General features: G+C 46.5%; 1 protein-coding gene and 1 non-coding gene across 2 annotated transcripts in view; both read left to right on the forward strand.

Moving 5' to 3' along the window:
* MYOM2 (myomesin 2) overlaps window positions 1–22,286 on the forward strand; it is a 100,411-nt gene that overhangs the window by 29,215 nt on the left and 48,910 nt on the right. The window contains exons 11-18 of the mRNA NM_003970.4: window positions 1,881–2,022; window positions 4,474–4,673; window positions 5,300–5,353; window positions 11,003–11,130; window positions 15,748–15,931; window positions 18,086–18,260; window positions 19,710–19,831; window positions 21,987–22,174. Of these exons, the coding sequence (NP_003961.3) occupies window positions 1,881–2,022; window positions 4,474–4,673; window positions 5,300–5,353; window positions 11,003–11,130; window positions 15,748–15,931; window positions 18,086–18,260; window positions 19,710–19,831; window positions 21,987–22,174 (1,193 nt within the window). The remainder of the gene's footprint in view (window positions 1–1,880; window positions 2,023–4,473; window positions 4,674–5,299; window positions 5,354–11,002; window positions 11,131–15,747; window positions 15,932–18,085; window positions 18,261–19,709; window positions 19,832–21,986; window positions 22,175–22,286) is intronic.
* MIR7160 (microRNA 7160) lies at window positions 2,329–2,380 on the forward strand. Its single transcript, NR_106983.1, has one exon. It is a non-coding gene; the product is annotated as a microRNA 7160 (primary transcript).

Here is a 22,286-nt window from a genome sequence, read left to right on the forward strand (position 1 = left end):
CAAAAGGAAATACTGTTCTCAGTTTTCCAGATGAATCCATGGAGGCTCAGAGGCAGGAGAAATGTCTCTAGGGTAGAGAAGCTCAGATTTAAATTTTGCTGGAGCCTGGAACCTGAGTTCCTGTTATAACTTTGTAGTGTTTTTGGCATCATGTGACTGAGCAGAAGGGGCCCACCTACTCCCACTCCTCCTTTTTTTTTAGTTTTGTTTTTGAGATGGATTAACACTCTGTCGCCCAGGCTGGAGTGCAGTGGCGCGACCTCGGCTCACTGCAACCTCCGCCTCCTGGGTTCAAGCGATTCTCCTGCCTCAGCCTCCCCGGTAGCTGGGACTACAGGCATGTACCACCACGCCCGGCTAATTTTTATATTTTTAGTAGAGATGGGATTTCACCATGTTGGCCAGGCTGGTCTCGAACTCTTGATCATAAGTGATTGGCCCCCCAACTCGGCCTCCCAAGTGTTGGGATTACAGGTGTGAGCCACCGCGCCCGGCCCCACCTACGCTTTTATCAGTGTCTGTTTCACTCCCCTCCTGCTTCTGCCCTGGGCTGCACCTCAGCAGCCTCTGGGTTTAGGGGCAGCCTCCTTGCTGAGGCACAGCTGACCTACAAAGAAGGCGTCAGAGCGCTCCTGCGCCATGTAGCTGCTGCTGCTCTCCGGGTCCCCGGGCTCCCGGCTCCATCCCGATCAGCCGGGCATCCTTACCTGCTGCCCAAGTTCTCACCTTCCCACCTGCCTCCAGCTCCAGTGGGGTGCAGGACGCATCCATACATCTTCATGATTACTTTTTCCATTGCATCCATTAGATCAGAGCTTAAAGGAAGGACTGTATCATTAAAGAATATTTCATCTGAAAAGAAAGAGAAGAAATGTCAACCAAACGTATCTCACCCTCCTCACTTCCCACACGATAGCCTGAGCTTGCGAGTCTGTGAGGTTAGACACTCCCGCCAAGTTTCACTGCTGTTGTTAGGCGGGCGTTAAATGTCCCTTCCGTCTTCTGCATGTGCCTGCTGGTATGATGCTCCGCCCCATAAAAAGGCAATAAATGCAACACGGCTCAAATCGCCTTGCTCACTCAGCACCAGCAACAGGAGGAAAATAAGGCAAAGGTGGGGAGTTTAACCATTTTCATCGCTTTCTGAGGCTTTTGAATGTGAGAGGAAACCATTTGGCTCAATGTCAGGAAATCCTCAGCTTTTAATACCCTGAAGATATGTGAGCAGGAAACTGGATAGTGCTCACCCTGCTAAGCATGCGTCACAGGGCAGCCAGGGCTGCTGAATAAATACATAGTTTAGATAAGAAGGTTCACATTCAGTGTATTAACTTTCTATGTTGCTCTGTTGGTTTTCATGCAGCTGTAATTAAACCTAATTGCATTAGGGTCATCAATAGACTGAGAAACGAATGATGCAATATTGTCCCAAATATTTGCTCAAAGTTGGCGAAAAGAGTAAATCGCCCAATTTCCTAAGGATTTTGAAATAGAAGAGTATCTCAGGTGATATTTCTCAGGTGTTAGAAATGCCAGATTATTGTCACTGTTTCATCCGCACATTTTTGCCAACGTGCCGTTATGCACCATAGCAGGACCAAGAGAAGATGACCTGTAATTCAGGATCTAATGACGAAAAATTGTAGACTCAGTGTTTTATCAAGGATTCTATGTTTTGAAGCTTTTTAATTCATACATAATTTTATATTTCTTGTCACCAACCCGCCAGAGTAAGAAATATTCTAGTACTTTGAACATGAGAATTAAACAGTGGTCAAATCAAGGGGATAGAATTGGAGCTTGGAGGAGCTGTAAACAGGCTTTGCAGTGACCCCAGCCTTTAAATGACAGGCGTGTGCCTTTTCTCTCCCTGCCCCAAGATGCTGACCCGCTGGTCACAGGGGCCCCCGGTGCACCCATGGACTTGCAGTGCCACGACGCCAACCGGGACTACGTCATCGTGACCTGGAAGCCGCCCAACACCACCACTGAGAGCCCCGTCATGGGCTATTTTGTGGACCGGTGAGCGTCTTGCATTCTCCCGGGGATGGGAACGTTCCGCATGGAATCTTACCATGGACAATATATTGAGAAATTTTTCTCAATGCAGGTTGACGTTCCCATTTTTTGATTGGCTCTAGGTACATGGCTAATTGGTTGTATAAGTTCCTATTTAGGTAATTGGTAAATACGGCCAAGTAGGCTGAGCCCAGCATAACCACACTGGGTTTCTTTTTGTTGAAAGTGGAGGCTCGTTTGCCTGTTGCACACCCAGTAACCAATCCCACCAACGTCTTCAGGCTCACTCTGAGCCCCGCGCTGTGGTTCTGCTGAGGTCCGGGCTGTGCCCCGTACCGGACAGGGCCCTGGCTTTAGCAGAATTAAAGCTTGGAACTGTCCTTCCCTCCTGAGAGACAAAGTGCTGCGAAGAATGCCAGCTCATTTCTAACAAAGTTCTTTCCTTTTCTCTACTGAGGAATAAGGTGTTCTTCTTGTTTCCAAGTGAAAAATCTTGAGCTTCGAAATACTGGAGTTTGTGTTTGAGTTGATAACTTACATTTAGGTCATCGTTGGAGCCAGTGGAGTTTGAATTCTTTGACTTCCCGTACTGGGGACAGCGCTTGGAGCCTGGGAAGTGTACTGCACAGAGCCAGTGGGTTTACTGGATATGTAATTTATGCCCTAAATACAAATTCCAGTTCTTGGAGTAAATTATAGTTGAAGAAAATGAATTTAGAAATTAGACAGAGAGTAAAAGAGGATGGTTCTGGCTGGGCACGGTGGCTCACGCCTGTAATCCCAGCACTTTGGGAGGCCAACGCGGGCGGATTACAAGTTCAGGAGATCAAGAGCATGCTGGCCAGCATGGTGAAACCCTGTCTCTACTAAAAATACAAAAATTAGCTGGGTGTGCTGGCATGTGCTTATAATCCCAGCTTCTTGGGAGGCTGAGGCAGGAGCATCTCTTGAACCAGGGAGGCGGTGGTTGCAGTGAGCCAAGATTGCGCCACTGGACTCCAGCCTGGCAACACAGTGAGACTCCACCATCAAAAAAAACAAAACAAAACAAAAAACAAAAAAACAAAACAAAAAAACCACAAAGGATGGTTCCTGGTAGAAATGCAAAATTTTATATGTATATTAAACAGAAAAATAAGGTGATTATCTTAGGAAAAAATGAGGGAATTGGCTTTTGTTTGTTTGTTTGTTTATGCTGATTAAATTCTCTTTTCTCTTCCAACAAAACTACTTGTTTGGCTGAGACCTGTGCCATCAAACTAATATTTTGATATGCTAGAGACAGTTCTGCAGGGAGTGCTGTTCCGGGCTTACCTTGAATTAAGCAACTACAGCAAGAAAAACAAACCCTCAAAACGATCTTCTTTTCTCCTGGGACAGCTGATAAGTTTTCCCGCCATGTTGACAAAAACCATTTCCTGCACTGTCTCAGCTAACAATCCACGCTCCTCCCCTCATTACAAAAAGCGCAAACATGAAATTCAAAGCAACGGAACACTTTGGGAATGAGGGTGCATTTGGAAGTGGGGGGTGCAGCTCCTCCTCTGCCCTTCCTTTGGGCTTACGACTTGCCAGCTGTTGCCTGAAGTTGCAGGTTTTCCCATCAGACTTTTGGTTTTGACCTGTTGTTCTCTTCGGCTAAAACAGCCCATGACATGTGGATCAGACAGCTTTCATTAAAAGTGCTGGATACTTAGGAGGAGAGCTGGTTCTTTCCCAGATGAAGGCACCACTCTGGGGTTGAAGTGCTCCCTCCCAACACTGATTTTCTGAACTAGCTCTTTTCTCCTGGGAATTTCATGTGAAGGTTTTTTTCTTACATTTTTCAACCTGTGAAAAACAGAGGTTAATCTTTCCTATATTTCCAGGTTTCTGGTCAGGAATTAATATTTTCAAAAGACTTCTAAATTCCACATGAGAGGCATTCTAGAAAGAAATGTCCTAACATTATTCTAGGAGACTGTAAGCCAGCTTTCCCAGGGACCTGGGCCCTTGGTCTCACAGAGTGGGACGGGAGCTGGAGGCAGAGGGGGCTGAGCCTGTTTCCCCAGCCTGGGCCTCAGACGGGCCAAGCCGCAGCTTAGGGGTGCCGTGACTATGTCACGTAAGTCGGAACAAGAACTGTTCAGGATGCGTCTAAAATAATTTTTTGAGGAGATTTTTGCCTAAATGTGTTTGATGACAGAAATTGATCTTCAGCTATAAATTATTAAGATTCATGGGCATATATTACATATATAATAGATATTACATATAATATATATATTGCATTTTCTAAATAGCTCTGTCTTCTAATGTTTATCTATACAAGTCAATATCTTAGCAGCAAAGATTTTACTGGCGTGAGATATTGTCCTGTTATAATCAGTGTGTGCATATATGCATATACCTATGTATATTTAGTAGGTTGCCACATTTGCTATTCTCTGTTGTTTTTCTTTTTTTAACTTGAAGATGTGAAGTAGGAACGAATAATTGGGTGCAGTGCAATGATGCACCGGTGAAAATCTGCAAATACCCGGTCACAGGGCTTTTTGAAGGAAGGTCTTACATATTCCGAGTGAGGGCAGTGAACAGTGCGGGCATCAGCCGACCCTCCAGGGTCTCTGATGCGGTGGCTGCACTTGACCCCTTGGACCTCAGAAGGTTACAAGGTAAGCTGCTCACGCCTAAGTATCCACTGTGCCCAGGAAGCTTTGGCTGTTTTGTGTGTGATTTGTTGTCTCTTTCCCTCCCAACTCGATGTGAGCCCTGAGAATGCCCTGTGTGCAGAGCATAGCACAGGCTGTTACAACGTTCTCTGACATCTCCACCAACATCACTACAGGAATGAAAACGGGCTGACGTACACTCTAAAATGAATGTGCCTCTCCTCCAGAAAGCTCTTTGCTGGCATCCAGTTAAATTGGCTCAGAATTAGACCTTTTTTTTATTCCATTGGTGATATAATTTCAACACATAATGACACTTAGAAGGCCATCCTATTCTGAGTTTTAATTTTGCATGACACAGATTCCTTAATGGGACTGGGCCCTTCGTTATGGTTGTAAGCGAGCCACTATATTTTCCTTACGCACATGGTCCTTTGCATCCACCACCAAGAGCTGAGAAGTGCTAACTGTTACCAGGACACTTCCAGAATCAGCTCTGATGCCCCCAGAGGACTCACAGGTTGTAGTCCTAATGCAGAGGAGATGCAGAGCTGGCACAGAATGAGGGAAAACGGGCTTTTGGGGAAAACTTCGCATGTCAAATCGAGTGTCAACCTTTCTCTCCGCAGCCGTTCATTTGGAGGGAGAGAAGGAGATTGCCATTTATCAGGATGACCTTGAAGGTAAGTAGCACCTCATCACCCCAGCTGCTCAGCCCCTGGGGATTTGGAGTTGTAATTAGAGATGGGAGAGATGGACAGAGAACGCCCCCTACTGGGCACGGCCTCTGCATGGAAAAATGAAAACCGCAGGTCAGGCCTGCAAGCCCAGTGTCCATAGAAGTTAAAAAAAAGAAAAAATCAAGCAAGACAGAGTGAGAGGGTGGGAGAAAGGGTGAAGGATTGGTGACTCTTAGACTCACCTTTCATTTGGGGTTTACAAAGGCGTTCTTTCAGGGACTTGTAGAGAAGAAACCAAACTAAAGCTCAGACTTGGTTCCTGGGTGATGTAAGATCCTTTCTCACAGATTGCATTGTGAAATCGATTTCATTTTACATTTTCTAAGCAAAAATTTTATTCCTGACATTTTAACTGAAATGGATTGAGTCTTTCCTGCCAAATGATGTTCTTGGTCCTTATGTATATTTGATTTTGTGGATATTTCTTCTTCCTGATTTTCCTTTTAGAGACCTTTAGAAAGAATGACGTGTTAAGGAGAATCCAACATTATTAACTAGAAATCAAAAGGTTTTAACTGGACTTAGAGTTCATAGAGTGCCATGGGTGAAAACATAAAAAGAAAGATTTCAAATCAGTGTGGAGCCACTGGCTAGAGAGAGGTGATTTTGAGCTGCTCGCTAAAATCACAGCCGTGTTCTCTCTCCTAGAGCTGCAGACTCAAAAGCGTTTTCTGGATTGGTTTTCTACATCTGAAGCAGATGGATCCCCAACTAGTATCCACACATTGCATGTTCTGCCACATGAAGATTTTTCTCTAGGATCTCAAAACAAATGTATGTCCCTATGTTTCCCATGAGGGACATAAACTCCCAAAAGAAGACCGTTGAGAGTTCTGGTCAAGCCAAGGGAACCTTTAAGCCTTAGTCAAATCCTCTGGCTGCAGAAGGACCTAGAACTCAGGAAGGACACTCAATACATAAGGAATGAAAGTGAGGGATTTGAGGAGGACAACTTCTTGCAGTCTCCTGGGCATCTGGCTTTTTGAGTCAGCCTGGTATTCTGTCTCATGCATGATAAACCCTCCCCATTTTTCGGATGATTAAAACATGGATATTTGAATGACTGAAAAATGGCTCCAAATACTGTTAGAAAAGAAGGCCTGCTTGAGGCCGACGAGCCCGTGTAGAATGAGGTTGGTTCTGGCCTCCGGGAGGAACAGGCAGCCCAGCCCGTGTAGAATGAGGTTTGGTTCTGATCTGCGGGAGGAACAGGCAGCCCAGCCCGTGCAGAATGAGGTTGGTTCTGGCCTGCGGGAGGAACAGGCAGCCCAGCCCTTGCAGAATGAGGTTTGGTTCTGGCCTGCGGGAGGAACAGGCAGCCCAGCCCTTGCAGAATGTGGTTTGGTTCTGGCCTGCGGGAGGAACAGGCAGCCCAGCCCGTGCAGAATGAGGTTTGGTTCTGATCTGCGGGAGGAACAGGCAGCCCAGCCCGTGTAGAATGAGGTTGGTTCTGGCCTGCGGGAGGAACAGGCAGCCCAGCCCGTGTAGAATGAGGTTTGGTTCTGGCCTGCGGGAGGAACAGGCAGCCCAGCCCGTGTAGAATGAGGTGGGTTCTGGCCTGCGGGAGGAACAGGCAGCCCAGCCCGTGTAGAATGAGGTTTGGTTCTGGCCTGCGGGAGGAACAGGCAGCCCAGCCCGTGCAGAATGAGGTTTGATTCTGGCCTGCGGGAGGAACAGGCAGCCCAGCCCATGTAGAATGAGGTTTGGTTCTGGCCTGCGGGAGGAACAGGCAGCCCAGCCCGTGCAGAATGAGGTTTGGTTCTGCCACGTGGGAAGAACAGGCAGTCCCCCTTCTCACTCCTCACGAGCAGACAGATCAGGGAGGAGGTGGGCAGCCCGGATCACGCTGAGTGGATGTGTAGGAATCCAGCCTGGCAAAAATGACCCACGGTGAGAAGGTGTAACTTGCTTTATAAATGTCACTTATCTGTGATGAAATTTGCCTTCTGTAAAGGCCATTGAGAAGAGCACTGGGGAAGGGAAATCATGTAATGGAATGAACCTTCCCCAGGGCAGAAGCCCTGCCTTTTTGGAGAGAGTCTATCTTTCTAGTGAGACATGATTGTGGTGGGGTACACGAAGCCCGCTGTTCATGAGGTGTCAAATGAAGAAAGAGCGCGTGTCCTGAGGCTTGGTTTGCCAGTTGATAAAGTGGAAGTTTGGCATCCAGACACTGTAGCTCTCATTTCCCGTTGGAGTAAAGACACAGATGCTCTTTTCCATGGTCTCGTGTTTTCCTTGCTTTCAGCAAGGCAGGTTTCTGGCTGACTGGGCCTGTGTCCTCCTCCGTGGGAGGCGGTTGTGAATGTGGCAGGATTTATTCATCCTCAGGGGACTTTTCCAAGTCTGTGTTTATGCGGTGGGTTATGGGAGGCTGAGGGTGAGACTTAGATGGAAAATTGCTTGACGAGACGTGGACACTGCCTGAGGCTCAGCCTCCCCGGCTTCAGTTCTCTGACGTGACGCTTTGTGTGCATTGAACAGGCAATTTCCATGGTCAGAAACAAACTGGGTATGAAATTGAAATTCTGCTGTGTTGATATGGGGTTTTGGAAAGTTTATCTGTTCACCTCAGCCATTTTAAACAAGGAATATGTCCTCTAACTTAAAAAAATCTTTAGCCAAAGAAAGAGATCTATAATGTTTCGAAGCGAACCATTTCGGGATTCAAGAATTTGCTATTAGGAAGTTCCCTTTTCTACCTGTGTCTTTTTTCTTCAGCTGATTTTTTTTTCTTTTACCATTGCTTTAGCTAGAAAATACTTGGTAAATGCCCCTTGTTTTAATGAAACAGAAACTCATTACTGTTGCTGGCTAAAAATGGCTCCTCTGCTATTTTTGACTTTTTGCCGAGTTTTTCTCACCATTTTAATCTTGGGCAATGTCTTCCTTCACACATTTGAATGGCTATCCATGCGCTTGCCTTACCATCAACCCAACTTGCCCAGTATTTGTTGAATTGCTCCGTTGAAAAATGGACACTGTATTTTTGGAAAGGCCAGAATAGACCCTCACAGAATATAATAAGAGCGTTTTTACTCTACTGTTCTACTGTGTTATTCTCTCCTAATTATGTATGCAAGCATTGGCTGTGCTTTCCTGGGCCGGGGCATTTGCAGCCCACATGCTCAGTCATTTGCTCTGTGCTCTGCAGGACCCTTCAATTCTGTCAAACCTAAAATAAACTCGGTGTTTCATTTACTTAGAGAAAAATCTCCTGGGGAGGTTGTAGTTTCCTTAGGTGGATGAGGGAACAAAATACAGAAGTTGGAACCAGAAGACCTAAGCCTCGACCCCAGTTCAGCCACCCAGTAGCTGTGCGATCTTAGGAAAGTGATATGTTTTTATGAGATCAATTTCTGGATTTTTAAGTGGAGGAAACCAATAGTATCTTCCTCCACACATGAACAGAACCCAAAATAAGATATTGAATGTGAAAGCATTTTAAAACAATCATATATATTATATATTAATAATGCATATAACATATAATAATACAAAAAGCATGTGTGTTTATATATCTCTCACTGGTTCATTTAGTATTGACTTGGCCCAATACTCAATTGGGTGAGGGCAGCATCAGTGCCCTGGGGGTAGAACCGTTGGCCAGTGTCTAGCCTTTGCTTAGCAGTGTCTCATGTGTGTTTAGCAGTGTCTCACGTGTGCTTAGCGGTATCTTATGTGTGCTTAGTGGCATCTAGCATGTGCTTAGCGGCATCTCACATGTGCCTAGTGGCATCTCACGTGTGCTTAGCAGTATCTCATGTGTGCTTAGCGGCATCTCGCATGTGCTTAGCACCATCTCGCATATGTCTAATGGCATCTCATGTGTGACTAGCAGCATCTCACGTGTGCTTAGCGGCATCTTGCGTGTGCTTAGCGGTGTCTCTCGTGTGCTCAGCAGTATCTTACATGTGCCTAGTGGTGTCTCATGTGTGCTTAACGTTCATTTGTTTTCCCTCGGCTCCCCTCTCAGGGCAGGGTCATCACTCATGCCCACCCCTGTGCTTCCCTCTCCCTGGCTCGAGGGACCCTTTTGAACCCTTTTCTCCTCTCTCCATGGTTGGAGAATCTGCAAATCCGCAAGGCTTGTGTGATCACATTGCCCAGGCTGATGAAGATGTGAAGAATAAGTCAGATGTCTTGCCCCAGCCGGGGATCCCCTGCTGACAAAGCTGTGTTCTTCCTTCTCACCTTGTCATCAAAGGAACTGTCTCTCACTCCACTTTCTCGGGGCCTTTTGCTACATGCAGGGGCAAAGGCAGCAAGACAGTTCCGAAAGTGTGAACGAGATGCTGCTGTCAGCGGCTCACACCTGCTTGCTGCTTCTGTTCATTGCCTTGTTCCTTCTGTCCCCTTGGTTTGCTTCCCTCATCAGCACCTCTGAAATAAACCAGGATTCAGTTTTGGAATTTCGGCAAGTGTTACAGAAAGATGAGTTTTCTGCATCTTCTCTCTGGAATGCTTTTTTCTGTGGGTATCTAGGTGTGGACACGGTGCACGGGTGGAGAGCAGGCCTGTGGGGTGTCCCCCGCCCCAGTTACCCTCTGCATTTTCCGGAGACACACTGACTCCTTGTGTGAAATTCAGCACCTTACCAGAATGAGCCCAGCTCAGCCTGCGTTGCCTCTGACCTGTAATGCGCTGTGCAACAGGGCTCAGGAAACGAAACCCAGTCTTGCTTTGTACTATTTCCATGTTCAGTTCCTGGCCTGCTACAGAGTCCTGAGGGAGCAACTGGGTTTTGAGAATGGCTCAGAGATGTCCCGGGGAGGTTTCAGACCGTTTTAATCATGTGCTAATCTAATTGAAGGTTCATAATATTTTTTATCACAATTTCAAGAACTGTGGGTCTGGAAAAACCTCCACCTCCACTCCTTATGAAAATCTCCTATAAATTCAAACAGAAATCCCCACACCTCATAGTATATTTAAAAAAGATGTATGTCAGAAGAGAGGCATATGGAGCATCTCTGACTGCAAATATTCTAGCATAAGTTATTTGCAAAAGGCTTATCAACATCACTCCAGAATTCAAACATGCAGACATAGAATACAGTGCCTGTGAATATGGTACTGAGCTTTTGAGGGAGGAGCAGGCAAGGTGTTTTAGAAGTAGATGTGTCATTTAAGTGCTCTGAGGGCACACGGTATAAAGAAAGAACCCAGAGGGGATCCTTAGAGGTGGGGCCGCCTCCATCCGCGGTGCTTCTGTATTTCAGAAGACAGACTGTGAATATGTTCTCTGCACAGATTCCCAACACAGTCAGAGCCCCATTTCGGGTGCAATGCCTGGTTTCTTCTGGTAAATCCTTCCCCCTCTTCCAACAGAATCTCTGGAAGACTTTCGGGTGAGATTCCTTTCCTATGAACAGGCTTATATCTGTATTGGAAGCAAAACTAACTGGCTGATCTTTATTGGTGCCTTATCCTCTGGTTCCAAGGAAGCATCTTTGGGGTTTGTTTGACTTCCCCAAATAGAAACAAAACAAGTTCAACACCCACGTGGCAGAGTCCTCCAGTGCCCCGAGGTGGGCTGCAGCGAGGCTGATGGGGGTCCTTCAGCACTCACCGAATTTATTATTCCTCCAGGTGACGCCCAGGTTCCAGGGCCTCCCACCGGTGTGCACGCTTCCGAGATCAGCAGAAACTATGTCGTCCTCAGCTGGGAGCCACCCACTCCCCGTGGCAAGGACCCGCTCATGTACTTCATTGAGAAGGTAAACTCCGGGCCCGTGTCCTGGAAAAGTAGATCTCTGCATGGCCCCCCACTGTCATGATCTCTGCGTGGCCCACCGCTGTCGTGATCTCCGCGTGGCCCCTCACTGTTGTGATCTCCGCGTGGCCCCCCACTGTTGTGATCTCTGCGTGGCCCCACTGTCATGATCTCTGCGTGGCCCCACTGTTGTGATCTCTGCGTGGCCCCACTGTCGTGATCTCTGCGTGGCCCCCCACAGTCGTGATCTCTTTGTGGCCCCCCACTGTCGTGATCTCTGCGTGGCCCCACTGTCGTGATCTCTGCGTGGCCCCCCACTGTCGTGATCTCTTTGTGGCCCCCCACTGTTGTGATCTCTGCGTGGCCCCCCACAGTCGTGATCTCTTTGTGGCCCCCTACTGTCGTGATCTCTGCGTGGCCCCCCACAGTCGTGATCTCTGCGTGGCCCCACTGTCGTGATCTCTTTGTGGCCCCCCACTGTTGTGATCTCTGCGTGGCCCCCCACAGTCGTGATCTCTTTGTGGCCCCCCACTGTCGTGATCTCTGCGTGGCCCCACTGTCGTGATCTCTTTGTGGCCCCCCACTGTTGTGATCTCTGCGTGGCCCCCCACAGTCGTGATCTCTTTGTGGCCCCCCACTGTCGTGATCTCTGCGTGGCCCCCCACAGTCGTGATCTCTTTGTGGCCCCCTACTGTCGTGATCTCTGCGTGGCCCCCCACTGTTGTGATCTCTTTGTGGCCCCCCACTGTCGTGATCTCTGCGTGGCCCCCCACTGTTGTGATCTCTGCGTGGCCCCACTGTCATGATCTCTGCGTGGCCCCACTGTCATGATCTCTTTGTGGCCCCCCACTGTTGTGATCTTTGCGTGGCCCCACTGTCATGATCTCTGGCACCCCACTGTCGTGATCTCCGCGTGGCCCCCCACAGTCGTGATCTCTGCGTGGCCCCCCACTGTTGTGATCTCTGCGTGGCCTCCCACTGTTGTGATCTCTGCGTGGCCTCCCACTGTTGTGATCTCTGCGTGGCCTCCCACTGTTGTGATCTCTGCGTGGCCCCCTACTGTCGTGATCTCCACGTGGCCACACACTGTCATGATCTCTGTGTGGCCCCCCACTGTCGTGATCTCTGCGTGGCCCCACACTGTCGTGTTTGCTGTGTTTTAAAGATGACCTACTAGTTCATCAGTGGGTCCAGACCCTGCACCGTTGCTGGGGAAAATGAGGTTAGGGCTGTGGTCACACGGCAGCAGGGGCGGAAATTGGCACCAGGGGGCTGGGTTGCGTCCTAGCTGGGCGTTGCCCCTCGGTGTGAGCAGGGAGTCGCTTCCCTCTCTGGGCGCCCGCGTTCTTCACTGCCGTGTGGAGGACTGAGCTTGAGGGTTCTAGCGTCTCCTTCCTGCTGCAACATTCCAGGCGCCTACATGCTGGGGATTCCAGATTCCTCGATGGCCATGCTTGTGCACAAGCCGTATGGCCACTGGGTGGCAATCGTGTAGAGGAAATGCACACAAGACGCAGAAGGGTTAGACTCGCCAGATATCCAATAGAAAGCTTTTTTTTTTTCCTGAATGCATACAAAGAAATACAAAAGACGTTGTATATTGCAGTTCTGCCATCACGTATATGTATGTAACCTACAGAATTTCACAAATGATAATCTCACCCAGCACACATTCTCTTTTTACCCTGTCCGGTGACATTAAAGGCACAGGTTGTGACCCACTAATCTGACTTGGTGACGACCCCCTGTTGGGTTGTAGGCCATAGTTGGATAAGACTCCAATGTCCTACAAAGGCTGTAACTAGGGTTTTGCGATACAAAATTTATATGTAATATGTAATACAATATGTAGTATGCAAGTAACAGAGAATATAACATATAGAAGCTTATGCCACCTAATACAATAATCGCATCTAGCACCACTCAATGCAGCATGGCGGAAACAGGAATGGAAACGAACCATATTTCAGACTCCAGCATGGAGGAGGACCCTCTGGCCTTCTCTGGTTATTTGCAATGTATGCTATCTGGGGGGTAGAAACTAGAAATATTTCAGGGTAAAGCATTACATCATTAATTCTGGGTGACAAAATATAGTTATTTGTGTTACGAAAATACAAGTGGTCAGTCCCTCTGTGGGGTCTCCTAGGGTGGAAGGTATTTTCTCAGGCCCCTCATTCCCCTCATCTTCCACCAATACCAGAAACACCAAGTTTGCAAACACTTTTTTGTTTTTATTTTTGAGACCAGGTCTCATTTTGTCACTCAGGCTAGAGTGCAGTGGCACAGTCATGGCTCACTGCAGTCTCCACCTCCTGGGCTCCAGCAGTCCTTCTGCCCCAGGCCCCTAACACCCAGAGTAGCTGGGACCACAGGTGTGTGCCACCACGCCCAGCTGATTTTTAAATTTTTTTTATAGAGACGAGGTCTCGCCATGTTGCCCAGGCTGGTCTCAAATTCCTGGCACAAGCAATCTTCCTGCCTCAGCCTCCCAAAGTGCTGGGATTACAGACACTTTAGTGTGTTTACAGGCCAGGCAAGCCACAACACCTGTCCTGCAAACACATTTTTAGAGAGAGGACTCCACCGTGGAGCCAGTGTGTGGGCAGAACTACCTGCTGTCAGTATTGATGACATGGCAGGCACACTTTTTTTTTTGTAATTTTTATTATTTTATTTTTCCATTAGTTATTGGGTACAGGGGGTATTTGGTTACATGAGTAAGCTCTTCAGCGGTGATTTGAGAGATTTTGGTGCATCCATCACCCAAGCAGTATACGCTGCACCATATTTGTTGTCTTTTATCCCTCGCCTCCCTCCCACTCTTTCCCCCAAGTCCCCAGAGTCTATTGTGTCATTCTTATGCCTTTGCAGCAAACACACATTTTTAAGAAAATATAATTTCAACTTTTATTTTAGCTTCAGGGGGTACCTGTGCAAGTTCTGACAGGGGTATGTTGTGTGATACTGATTTCGAGGTGCAGTTGATCTCGTCACCCAGGTAGTGAGCACAGCACCCCATAGGTGGTTTTTCAGCCCTTGCTCTGTCTGGTAGGCCTCAGTGTCTATCGTTGCCATCTTCGTGTGCGTGTGTACCCAGTGTTTAGCTCCCACTTATAAGTGAGAACATGCAGTATTTGGTTTTCTGTTCCTGTGTCAATTCACTTAGGATAACAGCCTCCAGCTGCACCCATGTGGCTGCACAGGACATGATTTCTTTCCTCTTTATGGCTGTGTAGTATTCCATGGTGTGGGGGCACCACATTTTCTCTCTGCGGTCCACCATTGCAGGGTTGAGTCCATGTCTTTACTTTTGAGAACAGTGCTGTGATGGTAATACAAGTGCATGCATCTTCTGGTAGAATGGTTTATTTTCCTTTGGGCATATACCCAGTAATGGGATTGCTGGATGGAATGGTAGTTCTGCTTTAAGTTCTTTGAGAAGTCTCTAAACTGCTTTCCACAGTGACTGAGCTAATGACATTCCCCCAGCAGTGGATAAGCCTTCCCTTTGTGGACCCATATTCTGATGTAGGAGAGGAAGCTCTCCTATAGACACCTGGACTGCGCTCGCTTGGGGTCGCAAGGGCCTGAGGCCCATGACGCCCTGGGGGCTCCCACCACAAACGCCCGGGGCAGATACAAAATAGCGGCTTTTCACTTTCACCAAAATGAGAGAAAACTCCTTCAAATATGAGTCTGATTTCTAGAAGTCTGGGTTGCTATCTGAATTTTCAGCAGGCTTACCAGGGTCAGTGTATATCCAACTTTTACTACCACAAAACTACTTTCGAAAAAGGCGTTTTATCTCTATGTGAAAAAATAAGATAAAACATGTAATCAAGGTTTTTAAAGTAATTACAAAAGATAAAAATTAAACAAGCAGTATATAAAATTTGGGAAAGACAGAGAAGTTACATGGAATGCAATTAAAATGAGCAATAATTCCACCATATAAAATAGCCACATTAACGTGTGGTACATATATTTATAGTCTTTTTCTCCATAGATTTTAATGCTCTTGTTGTATCATACAATTTGCATTCTGTATTAGATTTCACAAAATAACATAATTCCTCTTATTAGACTAAAGATCTTTATACAATAATTTAAATGGCCATGAGGTTTTTAATCTATGAACATATCATCATGTGTCTGACCGTATTGACAGCCATTTAGATTGCTGTCATTTAATCACTACTGCAAGTAGCTGCAATATGGTAATAACTTTAAATTGAAATGCGAACCACTGAGTTATGACAGAATTTTATGAATATACTTCTAAATTATCTTTCATTATTTGCAGGTTAGTTCTATTTTGCTAAAACTACTACCTATGTATTGATTCCCTTATGTTTTCTATGGTTTAATTATTTACTTTAATGGAAAAAAATTTATTAGTAAACATGATCAACTTTGGGTATTTGTGACTTCCTTCTCCAAATTGGCATCATGTTTCATAAAACTCAAAAAAGATGCATGACCATCCTTTGTGTGCGAGACGCAGCGGGCGCGCCTGGTGGTCCTGGGATAGCGAGAACAGAGCATTTCTTCCTCCTCCACACGCCTCTGGGGACCTCGCGGTTTTCACTGCCAGTCTCGTTTCTGTTTCTCTTTGTAGTCCGTGGTGGGGAGCGGCAGCTGGCAGAGAGTCAACGCCCAGACGGCTGTGAGATCCCCGAGATATGCCGTGTTTGACCTCATGGAAGGGAAGTCTTATGTGTTCCGAGTGCTGTCAGCAAACCGGCATGGCCTGAGCGAACCTTCGGAGATAACGTCCCCCATTCAGGCCCAGGATGTGACCGGTGAGCTGTCACACTGGGTGGCCCCAAGTCAGGATGGACTAAGAGTGGGGTGACACCAAATAGCCTTAAATTGTGTGAATAAAGACATTAATGTTATAAACGAGTTGAAGTTCAAGTGGACTTAAAACTTCACTTTACGAGAGATTAAGAGCTCTCTGCCATGTTTTGTTTGGTTCTTGACATTTCTCCAAAGCTCCATCTTCTTTTCATGAAACCAGTAAGTGAGTTGAAAAATATGTTTAGGAAACGGTCACTTTTATTGTTTTATTTAAACTTTTAAAAAAACTTTTATTTTAGGTTCAGGGGTCCATGTGTAGGCTTCTTACATAGGTAAACTTGTGTCATGGGGGTTTGTTGTAAAGATTATTTCGTCACCCAGGTACCAAGCCTAGTAGCCATTAGTGACTTTGCCTGCTCCTCTCCCTCCTCCCACCCTAGACCCTCTGATAGTCCCCCGTGTGTATTTCCATCTATGTGTCCATGTGTTCTCATCATTTAGCTCCCACTTATGAGTGAGAACATTTGGTATTTGGTTTTCTGTTCCTGCATTAGTTTGCTAAGGATAATGGCCTCCAGCTTCACTCATATTCCTGCAAAGGACGTGGTCTTGTTCTTTTTTATGGCTGCATAGTATTCCATGGTATATATGTACTGCATTTTCTCTATCCAATGTCATTGACAGGCATTTGGGTTGATTCCATGTCTTGGCTATTGTGTGAATAGTGCTGCAATGAACATTCGCATCCATATGTCTTTATGGTAGAATGATTTATATTCCTCTGGGTATATATGCAGTACTGGGATTGCTAGGTTGAATGATAGTTCTTTTTTTTTTTTTTTTTTTTGGCTCTTTGAGGAATCATGACACTACTTTCCACAATAGTTGAACTAATTTACATTCCCACCAACAGTGTTTAAGTGTTCCCTTTTCTCTGCAATGGTCACTTTTAAAGTAATTCAAATTTTAAGTGCACTAGACTTTTTTGTTGTTGTCTTTTTTTAATTAATGCTTTTTTAAAAAAATTTTTGTTTTGTAGAGATAGAGTTTCACCATATTGCCCAGGCCAGTCTCGAACTCCTGAACTCAAGGGATCCTCCCACCTTGGCCTCTCAAAATGTTGGGATTCCAGGTGTGAGCCAGGGTGCCCAGCCAGGCACTAGAGTTTCTTGCCCATCTGGCTTGAAGGTCCCTCTTGGAAGGTTTCAAATACAAATTACAGAAATTTTGAATTGCAATCCCTGGAGTCATAACTCCTTCGTGGATGGCAGTTAACTAGCATGTAAGCGGAGGCACCCTGGAAATCCCCAGAAGCCTTCACGGGAGGCACATTGGTGTCAGGAACGCGGTTCTGAGTGCCTGGGTGCCCTCCACCCTCTCTCTGTCGTGTTTCCTGAGAAAGCCAGATACGGAAATGAACAAGGTCACGAGGCCGGCTGCCTCCAGGGCATCCTCAAGTTTCTATCTGGCTCTGGTTTTAACTGAAGCTCTTAGAACTCATACCCAGAACCACAGGCTTGACAAGACCAGCTGTCTTTGAGCAAGGCCCTGCCTTCTTGTGCTTTATGACACATATGAAAAATGACAGTGTCCATCACTGAGACACACTGTGGGGTGTGTGGCCCAGGTGGCCGGCACGGAGGACACAGGTGGCCCCAAGGCCTTACCTGACCTCAGTCCGCAGTCCACTAGTGGGGCCTGGCACCACATGACAGGATCTGATGGTTAGGTCATGATCGAATTTTGAGTGCCCCTCGGAGATTTCAACAGATCTGATAAAATTGAGTCTTACTTTCTTAAAATTGGTTAATTTCCAGTCCAAAAAATAGTTGTTACCCGGGTAGCCTCATCCCTGCTGCCAACAGAGAGTCTTTTAAACAGCTCTGATGGGAGACAGGAGGATTCAGGATGGATGTCATCCTGTGTCTCTAGGAGTTGTGTGGAGCTTGGGAAGAGATCAGAGAGACCAGCACCTCCCAATGGCCCTCGGGTGGTCGGCCCGGGGCTCCTCTCCTACTCCTGGACCCCTTGTCTGAATTTCTTCCAAAGCCCCCAGTCTGGCTGTCCAGTTCCCTGTGAAAAGGGCCGGAAGATCTCTGCTGTAGCTTCCAAAGCTCTGATGCCATTTCACCACTCCTTTTGTCTCCTACGAAAAGTTGTCCCTTCTGCTCCGGGTCGGGTTCTTGCTTCCCGAAACACCAAGACGTCGGTGGTGGTGCAGTGGGACCGACCTAAGCATGAGGAGGACCTGCTGGGCTACTACGTGGACTGCTGTGTGGCCGGAACCAACCTCTGGGAGCCCTGCAACCACAAGCCCATCGGATACAACAGGTGCGGCCTCCCTCCCCAGCCCTGGAGTCAGCCTTGCAGGAGTAGCAAGACCGTTGAGGTCCCTGTGGCCCTGGCACAGGGAGTACCATGGCCGCAAGGCTTCTGCGTAAATGAGTCTGTCTTAGCCACACACAAGGGCTGTATAATTTTAAAGTTTGACCACTTGGATGAGCTAGTTACTGCACTTGCTCATGTCGACCGAAACGATTTATTTATGGATGAAAGGAGAGTTCCAGAACCTGTTTTTTTTTCCCCTGACATAATTAGCACTTAGGCCTTTTCTTTGAATAGCAGAGTTAAAAATAGTGACTACGATGTGAAAGTCGTTTTATTTTTTTCGTATTGATTTTTTTGAACTTGAAAGTTGCTTTGTTCATGTGCCTGGTAGTTCTATTCCCCAGCACCTGATGGAGACCCCACCGGGCGCCGACTCTTCGCTTGTGGTGGGGGCAGCCTCGGGGGATGCTGGTTGCTTTGCAGGGGAAAGCCAGTGACCCTGCCTTTGGAGAGACTTGCTCCTGCTGCCTGCTGAGTGTGCAGGGATGTCTGAGGTTATTAGGCTTCTCTGCGATACGCGTCTTAGGAAAATGTCAGCAGCTGTCAGAACCACCCTTGTGGATAGATGATCAATTATGGCTCAGCCATTTCTCCTTTTAAAATCTGAAAAAAATACACTGTAAAAAGTGGTGGCTAACAAGAAGAGATGTCATTGAAAAGAATAACAATTAGATGTTCTTCACAGCCCACAGCAAATGCAGAAAGATCGATCAGAATAAGAAACTTAAAACATGATTCCAGTACAGGGAAATGGTTAGTGAATATTTATTGACTATATATGATAAATAATAATTGCTTACACGGACTGAATATCTATCATACACAAAGCATCTGTGCTAAGTTGTCCACCTAGAGTTTTCCATGTAGTGCCTGCAATAGTGCTGTGGGGTGGGAATTATCATCCCCATCTTACAAATAGAAAAACAAAGTCTTACAGGGGTTAAGGAGGTTGATTAAGACCATAAAATCTGTGAGGTTTCAAAGCCCCAGTATTCGAGCCTAGTCCATCTGACTTCCAAGTCTTGGCCTGTAACCACTGCAGTGTAATTACTGCTAATTAAGTTTTACATACACGGGTTCTTTTAGATAAGAAATGGCATACTGTTGGATAATAGACCTCTGATCCAGAGGAGGCCCAGAAAGTACAAAAGCAAAGGTGAACTCACAGAACAAGTGGCTTTGGCACCACGTGTAGTCAGCTCCTGCTATAATTAGGTGCTGTGACCTTACTGTCGGACTCTACATGTTGAGCTAATTAACTAGAATTGAAAATGAAGGATGTATGTTATCCATAAAAATTTTTTATGGCGCGTTCAGGGTGATTTTTGCTTCTGCTGCAGGAGAGAAAAAGTGGAGCCTGGCAGTTCTGACCCTGATCCCTGTGTTTCTCAGGTTCGTGGTGCACGGCTTAACCACGGGAGAGCAGTACATCTTCCGAGTCAAGGCGGTCAATGCTGTGGGGATGAGTGAAAATTCCCAGGAATCAGACGTCATAAAAGTGCAGGCCGCACTCAGTAAGTCACTCACAGGCTGTTGTGTGCCGATTGCTCCCATACACTGTCATTTCTGCATGAATAAACATTTGTGATGCCATTTGGAATGTCATTGAAGGGGAAAAGGGGACTAAATTCCTGAACAGAGAACTTGAGTTTCTTTGAAGCCTCTCGGTTGGCTGCTTGTCTTGGAAATGACAGTGTGAGAGGGAGAAATGATAATACACTAATAAAACGCAAATTAAAAATAGAAAACATTGTTGTTGCCAAATACCTGTACTCATGTTAAAATATATGCTGTAGGCTGGCGCAATGGCTCATGCCTGTAATCGCAGCACTTTTGGAGGCCAAGGTGGCTGGATCATGAGGTCAAGAGATTGAGACCATCCTGGCCAACAAGGTGAAACCCCGTCTCTACTGAAAATACAAAAATCAGCCTGGCATGGTGGCGGGCGCCTGTAGTCCCAGCTACTCGATAGGCTGAGGCAGGAGAGTCACCTAATCTGGGAGGCGGAGTTTGCAGTGAGCCAAGATCGTGCCACTGTACTCCAGCCTGGGGGGACAGAGCAAGACTCCGTCTCAAAAATATATATATGCTGTAGGGGATACATTTCTCTTTTCAAAATATGTGCTAAAATACAGCAACATCCATGACCTTTTTAGCTGTTCTCAGTTCTAGGAACTTTAGTCACTTCAGAGAATGTCATATTTATGTAACTTTGAGACTTTGTTGGTAAATAGTGGTGTTTAACAGTTTTTATTATTTTGATCAAACGAGACAATTGGGATCCTAAATCTCAGGGACCGTCCCTAGAACAGTTGCTGTATCAAGCTGTGCTGCAGCCTCGTGGCTTTCTGTTTTCTCATGAAATGCACCTCAGGAAGTCAGTGCGCATACTCAGAAACATTTTGAAACACAAATGCCACATGGGACACCCTTGGATTCACAGGGTTATCTTCCCACTTCAGAGGGAACTATGTGGCTCGTTGATGATTTTTCATCTTTGACTAAATTTGCAACATTTTCAGAAATTAAAATTTATCTTCTAATGATATTGCTGTTGGATTTCCAAGGAATGTCAAATCTGATAACATCTAGCTAGGTACAATAGCGCTGACTCTTTTGTTTTAAGATTAATCTCCTCTCAATTTTTTCCAGGAGGGACTTTCAAACATTCCCATTTTCTTTTTAATGTCATTCCTACTAAAGGAAAACCACTTTCTTTTTTTTTTTTTTTCGACGTAGAGTCTCGCTCTGTTGCTCAGGCTGGGGTGCAGTCGTGTGATCACAGCTCCCTGCAGCCTTGAGCTTTTGGGCTCAAGTGATCCTCATGCCTCAGCCTCCTGATTAGCTAGGACCACAGGCACCACCACCACGCCCAGCTAATTTTTTGATTTTTTTGTAGAGATGGGGTTTTACTATGTTGCCCAGGCTGATCTCAAACTCAGGAGCTTAAGCAATCCTCCTGCCTCGGTCTCCCAAAGTGCTGGGACTACAGGCATGAGCCACCGCACCTGGCCTGTTTTTATTCTATGATAAGAATCACTTAATTCCAGTCACCTGTGTCTCAGGTAACAGAGGATGGCCACATTGAGGTGACTCAGAGCTGGGGCAAGCAGACTCAGGCCCATCCGTTCTCGACCTGTTAGGAGAAGGCGGTCCGTTTCAAATGCCCTGCTCAAACAGGGAAACACGGATTCACACTCATTTGAAGGAACCTGAAGTTCCTCTAACTGTGCAGGAAATTAAAACAAACTGGAATCGTATCTGTCATCTCTGGCCACAGATGCAGAATAGTTATTCCTTATGGTTGTAAAAGTGAAAGCTCCTTCGCCAAGCTTCTTTCAAGGGGCCGAGAAGACAGAACATCTTCTGCTGTGTCAAATGTTCATACCAGATTTAAACCGTTCATCCTATGGAAGCCTTAGTAGATACACTTAGAAATAGCAATACATATATATGAGATAAATTTTTATTTATTTTTGTACTCATCCCCTTTAAAAAGGTGTAAAGACCAAGGTGGTTAAGTGTGGGTTGAGAGGGATCAGAGGGCACAGTGTTCAGGCCCGTCTCCACGTTGCTTCCTCCTCCCTCTGCCACACTGGAGCTGGCTGCCCCGGGGACAAAGCCCCCAGCTGAGGCCCTCGGTAACTCCCTGGTTGTGCTTCCTTGCAGCCGTCCCGTCCCATCCTTATGGGATTACGCTCCTCAACTGTGACGGCCACTCCATGACCCTCGGCTGGAAGGTCCCGAAATTCAGTGGTGGCTCGCCCATCCTGGGCTACTACCTGGACAAGCGTGAAGTTCACCATAAAAACTGGCACGAGGTCAATTCCTCACCCAGCAAACCGACAATCCTAACGGTCAGTTGGTTTTTATTCCTTCGTCTATTTTTGCCTGGGTGGTTCTTTACATTTTTGGCAATGTTTCTGCGTTTGATGACATTAGATAGTTTGATACAGACACAAAAATGGA

The sequence above is a fragment of the Homo sapiens genome, chromosome 8, assembly GCF_000001405.40.
Source record: "Homo sapiens chromosome 8, GRCh38.p14 Primary Assembly".
Lineage (NCBI taxonomy): Eukaryota > Metazoa > Chordata > Mammalia > Primates > Hominidae > Homo > Homo sapiens.